This window comes from Homo sapiens, chromosome 5, assembly GCF_000001405.40.
Source record: "Homo sapiens chromosome 5, GRCh38.p14 Primary Assembly".
Lineage (NCBI taxonomy): Eukaryota > Metazoa > Chordata > Mammalia > Primates > Hominidae > Homo > Homo sapiens.
In genome coordinates this window covers 132986214-133004070 of record NC_000005.10, presented here as the reverse complement: position 1 = coordinate 133004070, position 17857 = coordinate 132986214, and the positions used below count along the sequence as shown (strand labels likewise).

Genomic DNA, 17857 nt, shown 5'->3' with positions numbered 1-17857 from the left:
AAATATTTATTTATAGATACATAAACTAGAAAAAAATCTGTCATTAAGAAATGCATTTCCGGACTGGGCACAGTGGTTCATGCCTGTAATTCCAGCACTATGGGAGGCCGAGGTGGGTGGATCACTCGAGGTCAGGAGTTCGAGACCATCCTGGCCAACATGGCAAAACCCTGTCTCTACTAAAAATACAAAAATTAGCTAGGTGCGGTGGTGCACCCTGTAATCGCAGCTACTTGGGAAGCTGAGGCAGGAGGATCACTTGAACCCAGGAGGCAGAAGTTGCAGGGAGCTGAAATCACACCACTGCACTCCAGCCTGGGTGATACAGTGAGACTGTATCTCGCCAAAAATATATATATATACACATTACCAATAAGTTTGTTTTAATGTAATAGTTATTAAAATTTATACTATCAGCCAAATGCTGTGGCTCATGCCTGTAATCCCAGCACTTTGGGAGGCCAAGACAAGAGGATCACTTGGGGCCAGAAGTCTAAGAACAGCCTAGGCAACATAGCAAGATGCTGGGTTTTTTGGGTTTTTTTTCAACTTTCAGTTATTTATTAATCAGTGTAATCTCCAGTAGATTACCTCAACATGATTTCATGCATTTAGAGGAGAAATATTTCCTGTTAAGTGGAAAATTGTGCGGATGGCTTCTGGAAGACCTTCATTCTAAAGGAGCTTTATAGTAAAACATTTCATTTAGAAATCTGAACCTTCTTTCTTCAATTTGCTGTAATCCACATTCACTGAGTAGAACTTGTATTGATCATTGGGACCCAGTTTGTTCAGGGCTCTGGGTTAGTCTTTCTGTCCCAACAAACATCTGGATTGAACAATGTCAGAGGCGAGAGAAACAGTGCTGCTCCAATACCTCCAGTTCCAATAAATACAAAAAGGGGGATCAACTTCGCATGCTTCTTGGCCTGACCCATGATCTGGCGGAGAATGTTTGCAGCAGAAGCCTCCAACTGGAAAGGAGACAACCAGCCTAGCCACCAGGCCCTGGGCTAAGTAGTATCTGCCAAGACCCTGTTTCTTAAAAAAAGGCCGGGCGTGGTGGCTCACACCTGTAATCCCAACACTTTGGGAGGCCGAAGTGGGTGGATCGCCTGAGGTCAAGAGTTCGAGACCAGCCTGACCAACATGGTGAAACGCCATCTCTACTAAAAGTACAAAAATTAGCCAGGCATGGTGGCGGGCACCTGTAATCCCAGCTACTCAGGAGGCTGAGACAGGAAAATTGCTTGAACCCAGGAGGCAGAGGTTGAAGTAAGCCAAGATCATGCAACAGCACTCCCACCTGGGCGACAGAACGAGCCTCCACCTCAAAAAAAAGAAAAAGTATCAGCTGTTAAAAATGTTCATATGTTCTTATGTGAATAATAGGTATTAAATTATTGTAGAACTTTTTATAATATGTATATAATATGCCCTTTGCAAATATTAAAACTTAGAATTGCAAGTATGAGTTTTCCAGAAATTATTTTATTAGGAATGTAAGCAAAAAAATGTTTGAAGACCCCTGTCCTAAAGAATGAAATACGGGTTATGAAAATTTTCATTCTAGTTTAGGCGCACACCTATAATCCTAGCACTTTGGGAAGCTAAGGTGGGAGGATCACTTGAGGACAGGAGTTTGAGACCAGCCTGGGCAACATAGCAAGTCTCACCTCTACAAAAAATAAATACATAAATAAAATTTTATTTTGACATTTACTTTTGTTTTTCTAATTGTATCTCACAAGTATTTTGGTCTAAAAATATATATAATTACATGAATCTGGCTCTGTTAAAAAAGATTGCTGGCCAGGAACCTTGGCTCACACCTGCAATCCCAGCATTTTGGGAGGCTGAGGCGGGTGGATCACAAGATCAGGAGATCGAGACCATCCTGGCTAACATGGTGAAACCCTGTCTCTACTAAAAATACAAAAAAATTAGCCAGACATAGTGGCGGGCACCTGTAGTCCCAGCTACTCGGGAGGCTGAGGCAGGAAATGGCATGAACCCGGGAGGTGGAGCTTGCAGTGAGCCGAGATCCAGCACTGCACTCCTGCCTGGGCGACAGAGGGAGACTCCATCTCAAAAAAAAAAAAAAAAAAAAAAAAAAAGATTGCTGAATTTTGATTCAGTTATAATTTAATAAGTATACTTCACCCTCTTATTTTATGCCCAAAATGACAATTCAGTAAGTAATTCCATTGTGTAAAAAACTTTACATAAATACATGTTTATGTTTGGAGACTCAGGAAACAATGATGGAAGCATTATCTAGGAAATATAGAGAAGGCCAGGATATAAAAACATTGGCCATGTGTGGTGGCTCACACTTGTAATCCCAACACTTTGGGAAGCTGAGGTGAGCAGATTGCTTGAGCTTAGGAGTTCAGGACCAGGCTGGGCAACATGGTCAAACCCCGTCTCTACAAAAAATACAAAAGTTAGGCATGGTGGTGCGTGTTGTAGTCCCAGCTACTCCAGAGGTTGAGGTGGGAGGATTGCTTGAGGCTGGGAGGCAGAGGTTGCGGTAAGCCAAGATCATGCCACTGCACTCCAGCCTGGGTAACAGTGAGACCCTATCTCAAAAAGAAAAAAAAAAGTTAAATTTACAGGACAGTGGTGATAGAATTAATTGTTTTTTTCTTGTTGTTGTTGTTGTTGTTGTTTTTATTTTGAGACAGAGTCTTGCTCTGTCGCCCAAACTGGAGTGCAATGGTGCGATCTCAGCTCACTGCAACCTCTGCCTCCCAGGTTCAAGAGATTCTCCTGCCTCAGTCTCCTGGGTAGCTGGGAGTACAGGCATGCACCACCAAGCCTGGCTAATTTTTGTGTTTTTTTTAGTAGAGACAGGGTTTCACCATGTTGGCCAGGCTGGTCTCGAACTCCTGACCTCAAATGATCTGCCTGCCTCGGCCTCCCAAACTGCTGGGATTACAGGTGTGAGCCACCGCACCTGGCCTAATTGTGTAATTTAAAAACCTGATTTAGTATGCATGTTGTTTGACAGAATAATAGCAGCAAGCTATTTGTCCCTTTCATTCAAATTTACCAGACTTTATAACTAATGTGAGTGAGCATAGTTTTGAAGTATTACATTTCTGGTCTTTAAAGAGTAAATAACTCGGCCAGGCAGGGTGGCTCACACCTGTAATCCCCAGGACTTTGGGAGGCCAAGGTGGGCGGATCATGAGGTCAGGAGTTTGAGACCAGCCTGGCCAGTATGATAAAACCCTGTCTCTACTAAAAATGTAAAAATTAGCCGGGCTTGGTGACACACACCTGTAGTCCCAGCTACTCAGGAGGCTGAGGCAGAAGAATTCCTTGAACCCAGGAGGCGGAGGTTGCAGTGAGCCAAGATCGCGCCACTGCACCAGCCTGGACAGCAGAACAAGACTTTGTCTCAAAAAAAAAAAAAAAAAAGTAAATAACGGGACATGCAGAAAAAGAAATAGTTATTTTAAATTAAAGGGCTGCTTTTGAAAAATTATGAAATGGCTATTTGTATGATTCTGAGAACTCAAACTACAAATTAGGGCTATTGTGCTATTAGCTTTGTTCTGTTGTTCAGGAGGTAGTGATACAGCTATATCAGCCTAAGTTCCAGACTAAAAAAATTTAATCATCTTAACTACTAACCTACCTGACTTTTATACACGTGCTAAGATGCATTGTCTTGCTTAAATGCTGGTTAAGTTGACTGCATGTACCGTATACAGCCTACAATGGCAGACTTTCCACTTGCTTATAATAAGAAATACTGTACTCTGTATGTGATAAAAACACAGAATCTTTCTCCAGAGTAAAATGATTTGGGGGATAGTAGAAGGGCTTGTCTGAGCTGTGTATAATCACTCTATTAACAGGAGCTTTTTTCCCCCTCGTGTTTATCAGCATTGGAGAAACCAATGTAGAAAGAAAGGCCAAGAAAAAAAGGTATGTGTGGTTTTAGCAGTGTTTTATAGATAACATGTAATACTAATTGGCGGGATGGGAAAGGTGATTTTAAAACAATAGCTATGCCAGATGCAGTGGCTCATGCCTATAATCCCAGCACTTTGGGAGGCCAAGGTGGGTGGATCACCTGAGGTCAGGAGTTGGAGACCAGCCTGTCCAACATGGTGAAACCGTGTCTCTACTAAAAATAGAAAAATTAGCTGGGTGTGGTGGCACATGCCTGTAATCCCAGCTACTTGAGAGGCTGAGGCAGGAGAATTGCTTGAACCTGGGAGGCAGAGGTTGCCATGAGCCAAGATCATGCCATTACACTCCAGCCTGGGCAACAGAGCGAAACTCTGTCTCAAAAAAAAATAGCTATAAGATTTGGATCTGAAGCCTCTTACTGCAATTTATAATTAAATAATCATCCTATTTTCTGATAAGTTCCTTTTTTTAACCTGTCTGGAAATGCATTGCTTCCATTTCTCCTTTTACTCCAACTTTCTAGAGTCCTTGTACGTGGAAACAATAAATAATTGTCTTCTCTTGGCTTAGAATAGGAAGTGTTAATAGACTGGTAAGAAATTGTTGGCCAGCCATATCTGGTCTGAAGTAGTTAAAATAAAGATGATGAAACAGTCACCAGCTAAGCTACGTGAGGTTTAAATAGACCCAATTGTTATACTGCAGCTTTATTCTGACATTATTCCCTCTGAAATGTAATATAGTAGATATGCTTATCTTGAATTCCATCCAAGAGAATTAAGTTGCTGAAGTAACAATGCCTTGTAAAGAGAGGGACTGTGGTTTACAACAGGCAATCTCCAAAATATCAAACCTAAGGATAACATGCTAGCAAAGCTTCAATATATAAGCATATATATGGAATCATATGAAATCGCTTTTGGCTGGGCGCGGTGGCTCACGCCTGTAATCCTAGCACTTTGGGAGGCTGAGGCGGGCAGATCATGAGGTCAGGAGTTCGAGACCAGCCTGGCCAACATGGTGAACATGATGAAACCCCGTCTCTACTAAAAATACAAAAATCATCTGGGCGTCGGTGTGCGCACCTGTAATCCTGGCTACTTGGAAGGCTGAGGCAAGAGAATTTCTTGAACCTGGGAGGCAGAGGTTGCAGTGAGCTGAGATTGTGCCACTGCACTCCACACTGGGCAACAGAGCAAGACTCTGTCTCGAAAAGAAAAAAAAAATGAAATTGCTTTTAACATTCTATTACATGTCACCTTCCCATGTATATAACTCTGTATTGTCTAATAGGTCTAAGAGTGTAACCAGTTCCAGTAGCAGTAGCAGTGACAGTTCTGCCAGTGATTCTTCATCAGAGAGTGAAGAAACATCTACCTCTTCCTCCTCAGAGGACAGTGACACTGATGAAAGCTCCTCTAGTTCCTCATCCTCAGCCTCCTCCACAACCTCTTCCTCCTCCTCTGATTCAGACTCAGATTCCAGCTCTTCCAGTAGCAGTAGCACCAGCACAGATAGCAGCTCTGACGATGAACCACCAAAGAAGAAGAAAAAGAAATAGAGTTGCTCCATTCATATTGGACTGATGGACTGAAAACATTGATGTGATTCTTGAAAGGGAATTTAGAATATGTTAAGGCCAAGTAGGTTAACTGGTGAACATTTCTAGAATTCAAAAGTTTCTAAATGTTTTACATTGTAAGAGCATAGAGAATATTAATAATGGCTTATAGAGAGAGACTTTTATTTGAAGGGTGAATCTTGTTTTTTTTATCTTTAAAATATATCTCTAGAACTTAAAGCTGAAATCTGCAAATCTGTTTGTGTGATGAAACTATCTTTTCTCTCTGTGAAATAAATGCCATACTTTGTTATATATGTTAGTGGTATGTATCAGACATATTTTCAGGATGGTGCGTCAGGATATCTGGCAGTGGATTTCTAATGCTTTTGGCTGTATGTTATGTAAGATTTAATATGTTGTTACTGTAAGCTTAGGAGTTTTCCTACTATTAATAAATGTGCTCTATTTTTACATTTATGTTCAGAAAGTTATCTGACTTTTTGTCCTAAGTGGTATGTTCAAGGAGCCTATTAATATATTTATAGTTTTTGAATGCTGTAAGTTTCAAATTGCTGTGTTACGTCATTCATTTTCTTCTGGTTCCTTAAGTTTTTCAAGTTATCCTTTTCTGAGGAAAATTATTCTAGAGGAACCTAAAAAGGGACAAAAAAATTGAAACTTCTTAGGAGTCTAATCTTGGTGCCTTCTGTTAAAAGTCAGTGTATCAGAAAAGAAAGCAGCCATGTAAGAGGCTAACTTAAATAGAAGTGCTAGAAATATCTTTGTGTATTAACATGCAATAAAAGGTACCATTCAAAGCAGGGGGAAAGGTAGGAAGAAGAGGTAATTTTTACTGAAAATTAGGGCAATGTTGGTCGCCTTTTATTAAAAGCTTTTTTTAAGCTTTCATAAAGATTGCTTTTTGCTATTTTTGAAAATATGGTATTATAGTTTGTATGGTAACTGGTCATATATGACAGTCTACTGCATATATATGAATGACTAGGATTAATCTGGTGTGTTTACATAGGATATACATAGTTGAAATCTAGCATGAAAGGTTAAAAAGGAGATACTGCACAATATTTCTTAAAAGTAAAATGCTGTTATTGTGATGAGTCTTTGGTTTAACATCACAGTATTCTGTGATGTCTTTTTAACTTTTTGGAAAGAGGTATCATTTGTAGAAAAAATTTGATTTGGGTTAAATATAGGTTTTTAAAACTATAAATGTTGTCTTTTTTATATTTTTATGAAAAAGCAGTAGAAAATTACTTTTGAAGAAAACAGGCTATTTAAATATTGAAATATATGTATGTTGTGAGTTTAAGGAGCCTGTAATTGTCAGTTTTACAAAACCATCTGTGTTCAATGGTTGTAAATAAATTCTCAAAACATCATTTCAAAGGCTGCCTACAGAATATTATCACTTGACAGATAGAGTTAATAAATTACCAATCAGGCACATTTTATAATGTTTGTCTCTGTAAAGGTAATATTAGCAGTTAAAGAACACGGATGAGAAAAGAATGTGTTACATAGGTTGCATCACTTGCAGTTAAATAAAACTCACAATTTGTGCTCACAAGCTTAAACTTCTGTTATCTCTTTAGTGTTTTATTTAATGTCAGTTATTCCATTTGAGGTGTAAAGACATTTGAACAAATTCCAATTTTAAAGTTTTACTATTATGGCTGTTAAAAGTATGACTGCAGAGGTACAGAGAGCAGGAACTCAGTTCTTCTAGTCACACATTTCATTCAAAATGACAGAATCAGGCTGGTCACAGTGGCTCATGCCTGTAATCCCAACATTTTGGGAAGCCAAGACGGGAGAATCACTTGAGTCCAGGAATATGAGACCAGCCTAGACAACATAGTAAGACTCTGTCTCTACAAAAAATTAAAAAATTAGCTGGGCATGGTGATGTGCCCCTATAGTCCCAGCTACTCAGGAGGCTGTGGCAAGAGAATAGATTGAGCCCAGGAGGTTGAGGCTGCACTGAGCCATGAGTGTGCCACTGCACTACAGCCTGGGTGACAGAGTGAGAAAAAACAAAAAACAGAATCAATGGCAAAGTGGAGACTAACTTCTAGAGAGTTTTATTTTTAGTCCTGCCTAAAGGCAGGACTCTGGAAGTTGAGTCCCTGGCAAATGTAGTGAGTATGTTACTTAACCACATTCATATCAAAAGGAGTCGTTAGATCATAGGTTTTCATTCCACACACATTTTGTTTATATTAATAGACTTTATATAGCAATTTTACCCTAGAATGAAAATACAGCATTAGCCATAAGTTAACGCTGGAAGTGGAAAAAGTGCAGAGAGGGTGTTTCATATTCTTAGCCATATTTATTCTTTTTAAATTTTGAACTGTAGATTTATAGAAAAGTTGCAAAAATAGTACAATTTCCTTATAAACCTCATCTAGCTTCCCATAGTGTTAACGTCTTACATAACCATGTCACAATTGCCAGAACCAAGAAATTTAACATCTAGTAAAATACTATTTTTTAAAGACATCCTATTATAGCATAGTAAAATACTATTAAACTGAAAACCTTATTCATATTTTGCTCATTTTCCCACTAATATCCTTTTTATATTCCAGAATACTACCCAGAAATACTTTTAGTTCTACCTTTACTACAGTCTCAATACTTCAGTGTTACCTTGTCTTTCATGCCCTTGTCACTTTTGAAGAATTATCTTGTCTAATACCCCTCAATCTGGGTTTGTTTGGTCGGGCGTGGTGACTCCCGCGTGTAATCCCAGCACTTTGGGAGGCCGAGGTGGCTGGATCATTTGAGGTCAGTGGTTCAAGATCAGCCTGACCGACATGGTAAAACCCCCTCTCTACTAAAAATACAAAAAAATTAGCCAGGCGTGGTGGCGCACGCCTGTACTCCCAGCTACTCAGGAGGCTGAGGCAGGAGAATCGCTTGAACCTGGGAGGTGGAGGTTGCAGTGAGCCGAGATTGTGCCATTGCACTCCTTCATGGGTGACAGACTGTCTAAAAAAAAATTTGGATTTGTCTGATATTTTCTTGTGATTGAACTGAGGTTATGCTTTTTGGAAGAATATTACGGAAATGGAATGTCCTCAATCATATCATGAGATTCATAATGTTCATGTGTCTTATTTATTACTGGCAATGTTGACCTTGATCACTTGATTAAGGTGGTTCCAGGCTGAGCGCGGTGGCTAACGGCTGTTATCCCAGCATTTTGGGAGGCCAAAGCAGGCGGATTGCTTGAGCTCAGGAGTTCGAGGCTGACCAACATGGTGAAACCGCATCTTTACAAAAAACACAAAAATTAGCCAGGCACCCCTGGGCACAGTGGCTCACGCCTGTAATCCCAGCACTTTGGGAGGCCAAGGCAGGCAGATCATGAGGTCAGGAGTTCAAGACCAGCCTGACCAACATGGTGAAACCCCATCTCTACTGAAAATACAAAAATTAGCCAGGCACGGTGGCGCATGCCTATAATCCCAGCTACTCAGGAGGCTGAGGCAGGAGAATCGCTTTAATAACTTCAATGTTCTTGAAAGTTTTTTGTGTACCCCCCAGGGCATTTGTGTCTGCTATTCAAGCTAATCAGTAATAACCACAAACATTAACAGAACTCTTCTTTGGAAAGTACTATACAAAGACATATAAAGGCCAGGTGTTGTGGCTCATGCCTGTTATCTCAGCACTTTGGGAGGCTGAGGTGGGTGGATCACCTGAGGTCAGGAGTTTGAGACCAGCCTGGCCAACATGGTGAAACCCCATCTCTACTAAAAATACAAAAATTAGCCAGGTGTGGTGGTGGGGTGCCTGTAATCCCAGCTTCTCAGGAGGCTGAGGCAGGAGAATTGCTTGAACCTGGGAGGTGGAGGTTGCAGTGAGCCAAGGTCACACCATTGCACTCCAGCCTGGGCAACAGAGCGAGACTCTGTCTCAAAAAAAATAAATAAATAAAGAGAGAATTCTCTCTTCCTCTGCCTTTTCTATTTCTATATAGGCTCTCAATGGACTGAATGATGCCTAGGGGAATGGATCTTCTTTAGTCAGTTTACTAATTCAAATGCTAATCTCTTCCCAAAACACCCAGAAATAGTGTTTTACCAGCTATCTGGGCATCCCTTAGCCCAGTAAAGTTGACACATAAAATTATTCACCATAGGAGATGTAACAGATGAGAAATGACAACTATACTAGAAGCTGAAAAGCAGATGTTGACTTGAATAACCAAAGAAAGCCAAAGCCCAAGCCCACAGTGAGTAAAAGACAACAGGAAGCAAGCCACAGACTCTGAAAAGCTTCCAAACTTGATGGCACCACAGACTTCTGCCAGCCAAGGCACAAGGAGGGCTTGAAAGCAGACTGGTAGAAAGTTTATGTAAGGAGATGCACCCCTATGCACTCCTCTCCTGTTCATGCTGTCTTAGTGGGTTTATTTTTTTTATCATGAAATTTTGCAAGTGAACAGTAGTGAACATCTATGTTTTTGTTTTGTTTTGTTTTTGTTTTTTTTGGAGATAGTGTCTCATTCTGTTGCCCAGGCTGGAGTGTAGTGGTATGATCACAGCTCACTGCAGCCTTGACCTCCCAGGCTCAAGCGATCCTCCCACTTCAGCCTCCCTAGTAGCTGGGACTACAGGTGTGTGCCACCATGCCTGGCTAATTTTTGTATTTTTTCTAGAAATGAGGTCTCATCATGTTGCCCAGGCTAGTCTCGAACTCCTGGGCTTAAGCTATCCTTCCACCTCAGCCTCCCAAAGTGGTGAGATTACAGGTGTGAGACACCGTCTGCCATGATTAGTGAGTACTCCATTAATTAATTAATTAATTTTTTATTTTTTTGAGACAGGTCTTACTCTGTTCCCTAGACTGGAGTGCAGTGGTGCAATCTTGGCTCACTGCAACCTCCACCTCCCAGATTCAAGTGATTCTCCTGCCTCAGCCTCCCGAGTAGCTGGGATTACAGGCGCGCACCACTACTGCCTGGCTAATTTTCGTATTTTTAGTAGAGATGGGGTTTCACCATGTTGGCCAGGCTGGTCTTGAACTCTTGACTTCAAGTGATCCACCCACCTTAGCCTCCCAAAGTGCTAGGATTACAGGCGTGAGCCACTGCGCCCAGCCCATGACTAATTTAAAATTAAATAAGAAACAATACAAGTTGCCATATGCTAAGAACCACTTGGAATAAAGACAATGAGTAATGTTGGGCCTCATTTATAAATCTTCAGCTCCAGATAGTTCTCTAACAAAAATTGTGGACAAAATCAAGAATGAAAAATCATAGAACTGCTGGGTAACTTTTTAGTGTTTGGACACTGTGCTATCTACTCGATAAACTGATTCACTTCCTTAAGAAGTCCCGAGGGAGGCTGGTCCAAGTCCAGTGGTGTTTACAACTAATTGATCACAACCAGTTACAGATTTCTTTGTTCCTTCTCCACTCCCATTGTTTCATTTGGCTAGCCTAAAATTAAGCTAAAATTAAATAAATAAATAAATAAATAAATAAATAGGCTGGGCACGGTGGCTCACGCCTGTAATCCCAGCACTTTGGGAGGCCGAGGTGGGTGGATCACGAGGTCAGGAGATCGAGACCATCCTGGCTAACATGGTGAAACCCCGTCTCTACTAAAAATACAAAAAATTAGCCTGGCGCGATGGCAGGTGCCTGTAGTCCCAGCTACTGGGGAGGCTGACGCAGGAGAATGGCATGAACCTGGGAGGCAGAGCTTGCAGTGAGCTGAGATCATGCCACTGCACTCCAGCCTAGGTGACAGAGTGAGACTCCATCTCAAAAAATAAATAAATAAATAAATAAATAAATAAATAAATAAATAAATAAAAGTCCTGAGGGGACTCTGAAAAGGTGATTCCTGTACTAGGCAAATCCATAACAAAATCTAGGATCACAAAACATGTAAACCAAAACCACGAGACATCTGCACGAGGAAAAATCCTCTCTAGTTAGCAATCTTGAAGGGTCACTGTGCCCGTGGACAGAAGAGAAAACTTATTAATTCAAGCAAACTTTAACAACTGTTATTAAGTTCCTGGCCCTGTCCCTTGAGGGTTTACAGGCTATTAATAAATAATTATAGATGTAAGTGCTGCAAAAGTCTTGCTAGAGTGCCTAGAGTCTTAAACAATTGCTGGAAGTTTGGTAGAGTCCTCCAGGGGAGGTGGATTTGGCTGAGAAAGAGCTGTTGGGCCTGGTGGGAAGCCTGTTTGTATGGGAGACTAGCCGGGGTTGAGGCTGCCGGTGATAATTGTTTTATTATCAAGGGTACTACAGGTCAGGCTACGGAATTTGTATTTTATTTGGAAGATGACAGGAAAATCTTACATTCAAGAAACATTTAAAAGCTTGTCAAGAGTGTCAAGACTAGAAATAGAGAAACCAATCAAATGACTCTATAAGAAGCAGCCAAGCCCTATACTTCAACCAAGAATCAAATTATCTGTGACCCAGATTTTATCATCTCAGTTTGTGTGAGATGGTATTACTTTTCTTTTGGGTCTGTAATATTAATGTAATCCTGAGAAAGCATCAAAATAATATTACCAGACTGGGCGCAGTGGCTCATGCCTGTAATCCCAGCACTTTGGGAGGCCGAGACGAGCGGATCACCTGAGGTCAGGAGTTCGAGACCAGCCTGGCCAACATGGTGAAACCCCGTCTCTACTGAAAATACAAAAATTAGCTGGGTGTGGTGGCAGGTGCCTGTAATCTCAGCTACTTGAGAGGCTGAGGCAGGAGAATCGCTTGAAGCCAGGAGGCGGAGGTTGCAGTGAGCCAACACCGCACCATTGCACTCCAGTGTGGGTGACAGAGCGAGACTCCGTCTCAAAAAAAAAAAAAAAAAAAGATAAAATTAATAAAACCCTTGATGTTAATGGTGTTTGTAAATATATATATATAAATACAGAAGGCTGGGCATGGTGGTTCACTCCTGTAATCTTTGCACTTTGGGAGGTCCAGGCGGACAGATTGGTTGAGCCCAGGTGTTCGAAACCAACTTGGGCAACATGGCAAAACCCCGTCTCTACCAAAAATACAAAAACTGAGGTGGGAGGATCACCTGAGCTTGGGGAAGTCAAGTCTGCAGTGAGCTGTGATTGAGCTAGTGCACTCCAGCCTGGGTGACAGAGTAAGACCCCGTCTCAAAAAAAAGAAAAAAAAAAAAGAAAGAAATATTTTAAATACACATTATATATATTTGTAAACATATATGTATAACAATCACAAAATACATAGCTGATCAGCTTGTAATCAACATTTAAATATTCAAGGAAAATTGTCTTTTCATATTTTATTAAATTTATTGGCTTACTATTATTTTGAGACAGGATCTTGCTCTGTCACCCAAGCTGGAGTGCACTAGCTCAATCACAGCTCACTGCAGATGACTCTGCTTCCCAGGCTCAAGTGCTCCTAACTACCTCAGCCTCTGGAGTACCTCAGACTACAGGCATGCACCACCATGCCCAGCTACTTTTTTTTTTTTTGAGACAGAGTCTTGCTCTCTCGCCCAGGCTGGAGTACAGTGGCCTGATGTCGGGTCACTGCAAGCTCTGCCTCCCGGGTTCACGCCATTCTCCTGCCTCAGCCTCCCGAGTAGCTGGGACTATAGGCGCCCGCCACCACGCCCGGCTAATGTTTTATATTTTTAGTAGAGACAGGGTTTCGCCATGTTAGCCAGGATGGTCTCGATCTCCTGACCTCATGATCCACCCACCTGGGCCTTCCAAAGTGCTGGGATTACAGGCGTGAGCCACCGCGCCTGGTCCCCAGCTAATTTTTTAAAAACTTTTTTGTAGAGACAAGATCTCACCATGTTGCCCAGGCTCACCTTAAATTCCTGGCCTCAAGTGATCCTACTGCCTTGGCCTCCCAAAGTGCTGATTTACAGGCCTGAGCCACCTCACCTTCCCTGGCTTTATGTCTTTAGCAATAAGAAAAGAAAATGGGACACATTATTGTAATTGTCCAGAAGAGAAATGAGGGTCTAACCTAATACATTAACAATGAGACCAGAAAGGAGGTAACAGATATGAGAGACGAGAAGGTAGAAATGACAGAATTTTGTGATTAGTTGATTATGGTAGTGAGAGAGATATACTGGAAAAGTTTCAAGTTCTGTTGTTTGGATGACTGGGTGAATATTAAAATAAAAATACACATTTCAGTAAAATTGCAATAATAGTGGCTACTATATGACAAATATAAACTGACCTTAGCAATGTGAGAAATGTCAAACTATTTTTATTAACACAATAAAATATTACAATTTTTTAAAAACCAGCCTGTCCATCATGGTGAAACCCCATCTCTACAAAAAATACAAAATTTAGCTGGGCATAGTGGCGGGCACCTGTAATCCCAGCTACTCAAGAGGCTGAGGCAAGAGAATCACTTAAACCCGGGAGGCAGAGGTTGCACTGAGCCGAGATTGTGCCACTGCACTCCAGCCTGGGAGACAGAGCAAGACTCTGTCTCAAAAAATAATAATAATAATAATAACTTTAGGCTGGGCTCGGTGGCTCACACCTATAATCCTAATCCCAACACTTTGGGAGGCTGAGGCGGGTGGATCACCTGAGGCCAGGAGTTCGAGACCAGCCTGGCCAATATGGTGAAACCCCATCTCTATTAAAACACAAAATTAGCTGGATGTGGTGGCACACACCTGTAATCCCAGCTACCTGGGAGGCTGAGACAGGAGAATCGCTTGAACCCAGGAGGCAGAGGCTGCGGTGAGCTGAGATCACACCACTGCACTCCAGCCTGGGCAAGACAAAGCGAGGCGCCGTCTCAAAAAAAAAAAAAAAATTCAGATAACACTTGGGTATTTGAAAATGTGTCTGTAGAGTTTGATAGTGATCAAATTACTAACAATTCTCATGTTTGGGTAGTAAGATTATATATCAATTTTTTTTTTTTGAGACAGGGTCTCACTCTGTCGCCCAGGCTAGAATGCAGTGACATGATCTCAGCTCACTGCAACCTCTGCCTCTGGGTTCAAACGATTCTCCCACCTCAGCCTCCCGAGTAGCTAGGATTACAGGTGGGCACCACCATGCCTGGCTAATTTTTTTTGTATTTTTTTGATAGAGACGGGTTTTACCATGTTGCCAGGGCTGTAGATCAATTTTTTCTTTCATTACTTCCCAATTATTTCCTACAACCTTAACAATAATCTGCACATTATTAAATAGTACAATTCAATAATTTTTGACATATATATACTTTCATGAAATCATCACCACAAGGAAGGTAATTAACCATAACCATTGCCCCCAAGAGCTTCCTTGTGCCCCTTTGTAATCTTTTCTACTCATTCATCCCTGCTTACTCTACCCCTAACCAATCCTCAGACAACTACAGACATAAATTCTTTTTTTCTTTTTTTTTTTTTTTTTTTTTTGAGACGGAGTCGCACTCTGTCTCCCAGGCTGGAGTGCAGTGGCACGATCTCGGCTCACTGCAACCTCCGCCCCTCTAGGTTTAAGCAATTCTCTGCCTCAGCCTCCGGAGTAGCTGGGATTACAGGCGCGTGCCACTACGCCAGGCTAATTTTTTGTATTTTTAGTAGAGATGGGGTTTCACCATCTTGGCCAGGTTGGTCTTGAACTCCTGACCTCGTGATCCACCGGCCTCGGGCTCCCAAAGTGCTGGGATTACAGGCGTCAGCCACTGCGCCCCGCAAATTCTTCAACTATAAAATAGTTTGTATTTTTGGCCAGGAGCAGTGGCTCATGCCTGTAATCCCAGCACTTTGGGAAGCCGAGGTGGGCGGATCACGAGGTCAGGAGATCGAAACCATCCTGGACAACATGGTGAAACCCCCTCTCTACTAAAAATACAAAAATTAGCTGAGTGTGGCAGCGCATGCCTGTAATCCCAGCTACTCTGGAGGCTGAGGCAGGAGAATCGCTTGAAACCGGGAGGCGGAGATTGCAGTAAATTGAGATCCCGCCATTGTACTCCAGTCTGGGCAACAAAAGCGAAACTCCATTTCAAATAAATAAATAGATAGGCACAAACAGATATGTTAACATTAATCAAAAGAAAACTAGAGAGACTATATTAATATTAGACAAAGTAGATTTCAGAAGAGGCCAGGCAGGGTGGCTCATGCCTATAATCCTAGCACTCTGAGAAGCCGAGGCGGGTGAATTGCTTGAGTCGAGGAGTTGGACACCAGCCTGGGCAACATGGCAAAATCCGATCTCTACAAAAAATACAAAACTTAGCCGGATGTGGTAGCACGTGCCTGTAGTCCCAGCTACTCAGGAGGCTGAACTGGGAGGATCGTTTGAGCCCAGGAGGTTGAGGCTGCAGTAAGCCATGATCCTGCCACTGCACTCAAGCCTTAGTGACAGAGCAATACCCTGTCTCCAAAAAACAAACAAACAAACATGAAAAAACCAGTCGTTTCCGGGGAGCGAGACTCCAAATGGGTGGCAGTCGCAGCGGCTCCCCACGGAGGAAAGGTAGGCGTTCCCGGTCCACATCCCGTGAGAGAGAACGCAGGCTCCAAGAAAGGTCCAGGTCTCGGGAGAGAGATGGGAGAAGGAACCGCTCGCCAACCCCGCACCTAGGACGCTCCCGATCTCCAAGACGACATAAATCCACATCTCCTTCCCCTTCTCAGCCGAACGAAAGAAGAGATGAGGAAAAGAAAGAAACAAAGAGCAAAGAATGGCAAATTACTGAGGAAGACTTAGAGGGCAAAACAGAGGAAGAAATAGAAATGATGAAGTTAATGGAATTTGTCTCCTTTGACTCCACAAAAGGTGAGAAGGTGGATTGCTCTGTAAATGCCTATGCCATAATTGTCTCTCAGAAGAGGAAGTACGGGCAGTAGATGAATCGAAAAGGTGGATTCCACAGACCTTTGGATTTCATTGCATGAGAATTGAAATGTTGAAGAATGATTTTTTCCCCTCATCTTGGTCAGAGAGTGGATTTTGTATTTAACTTGCATTCAAAAAACAGGATCTCAGTTCTTCCTTCTTGTAAAGCAAGAAAATATTTTTATTTTATTTATGTATTTATTTATTTATTTATTTTTGAGACAGAGTCTCGCTCTGTCGCCCAGGCTGGAATGCAGTGGCGCAATTTCGGCTGACTGCAAGCTCCGCCTCCTGGGTTCACGCCATTCTCTTGCCTCAGCCCCCCGAGTAGCTGGGACTACAGGCACCCGCCACCACGCCCGGCTAATTTTTTGTATTTTTTAGTAGAGACGGGGTTTCACCGTGTTAGCCAGGATGGTCTCGATTTCCTGACCTCGTGATCCGCCCACCTTGGCCTCCCAAAGTGCTGGGATTACAGGCATGAGCCACAGCGCCCAGCCAAGAAAATCTTATTTATGATGTATGCAGTTCACTTACCTTGCCTCAACAGAAGAAAAGTTAAATATTACGTTTTTTTCTTTTAGGAAATATCATTTGTGGTAAGCGTCAACCTCATTTTATTTGTCCTTATTCCTGTGGAAGCAGTACATGTTTTCTTCTTGAATGCTCATTAGGACTTCTTAAAAAACATGAAAGTAATTTGGAAGTAAGTTTATCCAATAAAGCAGTATTTCTACACTTTTAGATTTGATAAATATTTTTATTACTAAAGAATCCCCTAGACATTTTCTTTTTTTATTTCATGCATAGATTTAAGCATCTTGATTCTTAGTAATTTAAAAATGGGAAGAATGAAAAAGCATAACTAGATTTTTCTATCTTCTGTGGTTCCCCCCCACAAAATACCATTTATTGTTCTCCCCCAAGTATAAAAGCAATACATGCAAAAAAATATCTGAGAGAAACCAAAAAGTAAAAGGAAGGCCAAAAATCACCTGGTATCTACTCCCAGAAATAATCAATTTTAACATTTCGGGATATGTCTTTCCAGGCTTCTTTGGGTGTATATTTCTCACCCTCACCCATGAGATCAGAATATGTATGCAGTTCTTTCTTTAACCCTTTTTTTTCCCGTGTACTGTGAACATTTAAAAAATACTTTTAAATATTCTTTGGAAACTTAGCTTTTAGTAGCTACTTGGTTGTATCATAATTTATTAACTACTGTTTCACTGGTAAACATTGACTTGCCTCCCATGACTTGCCACTATAATTAAAACCGTGAGTACTGGCGGGGCGCGGAGGCTCATGCCTGTAATCCCAGCACTTTGGAAGGCCGAGGCGGGCGGATCATGAGGTCAGGAGATTGAGACCATCCTGGCTAACACGGTGAAACCCTGTCTCTACTAAAAATACAAAAAATTAGCCGGGCGCGGTGGCGGGCGCCTGTAGTCCCAGCTACTCGGGAGGCTGAGGCAGGAGAATGGCGTGAACCCA

General features: G+C 41.8%; 1 protein-coding gene and 2 pseudogenes across 15 annotated transcripts in view; 2 read left to right on the top strand and 1 right to left on the bottom strand.

The window, feature by feature from the left end:
• ZCCHC10 (zinc finger CCHC-type containing 10) overlaps positions 1-7086 on the top strand; it is a 29565-nt gene extending 22479 nt beyond the window's left edge. For 5 of the 15 annotated variants that reach the window (NR_125337.3, NM_001308128.2, NM_017665.4 and 2 more), the window contains 2 exons: positions 3898-3939; positions 5221-7086. Coding sequence is in view for 12 of the 15 variants with exons in the window: in NM_001308128.2 (NP_001295057.1) it covers positions 3898-3939; positions 5221-5488 (310 nt within the window). In the remaining 3 variants the exon portion in view is untranslated. Of the gene's footprint in view, positions 1-3869; positions 3940-5220 lie in introns of all 15 variants that reach the window. The other 10 variants (NR_131767.2, NR_131766.2, NM_001308130.2 and 7 more) reach the window with 3 other exon arrangements.
• On the bottom strand, positions 706-3675 carry COXFA4P3 (COXFA4 pseudogene 3; annotated as a pseudogene).
• On the top strand, positions 15933-17650 carry LOC402230 (small nuclear ribonucleoprotein U4/U6.U5 subunit 27 pseudogene; annotated as a pseudogene).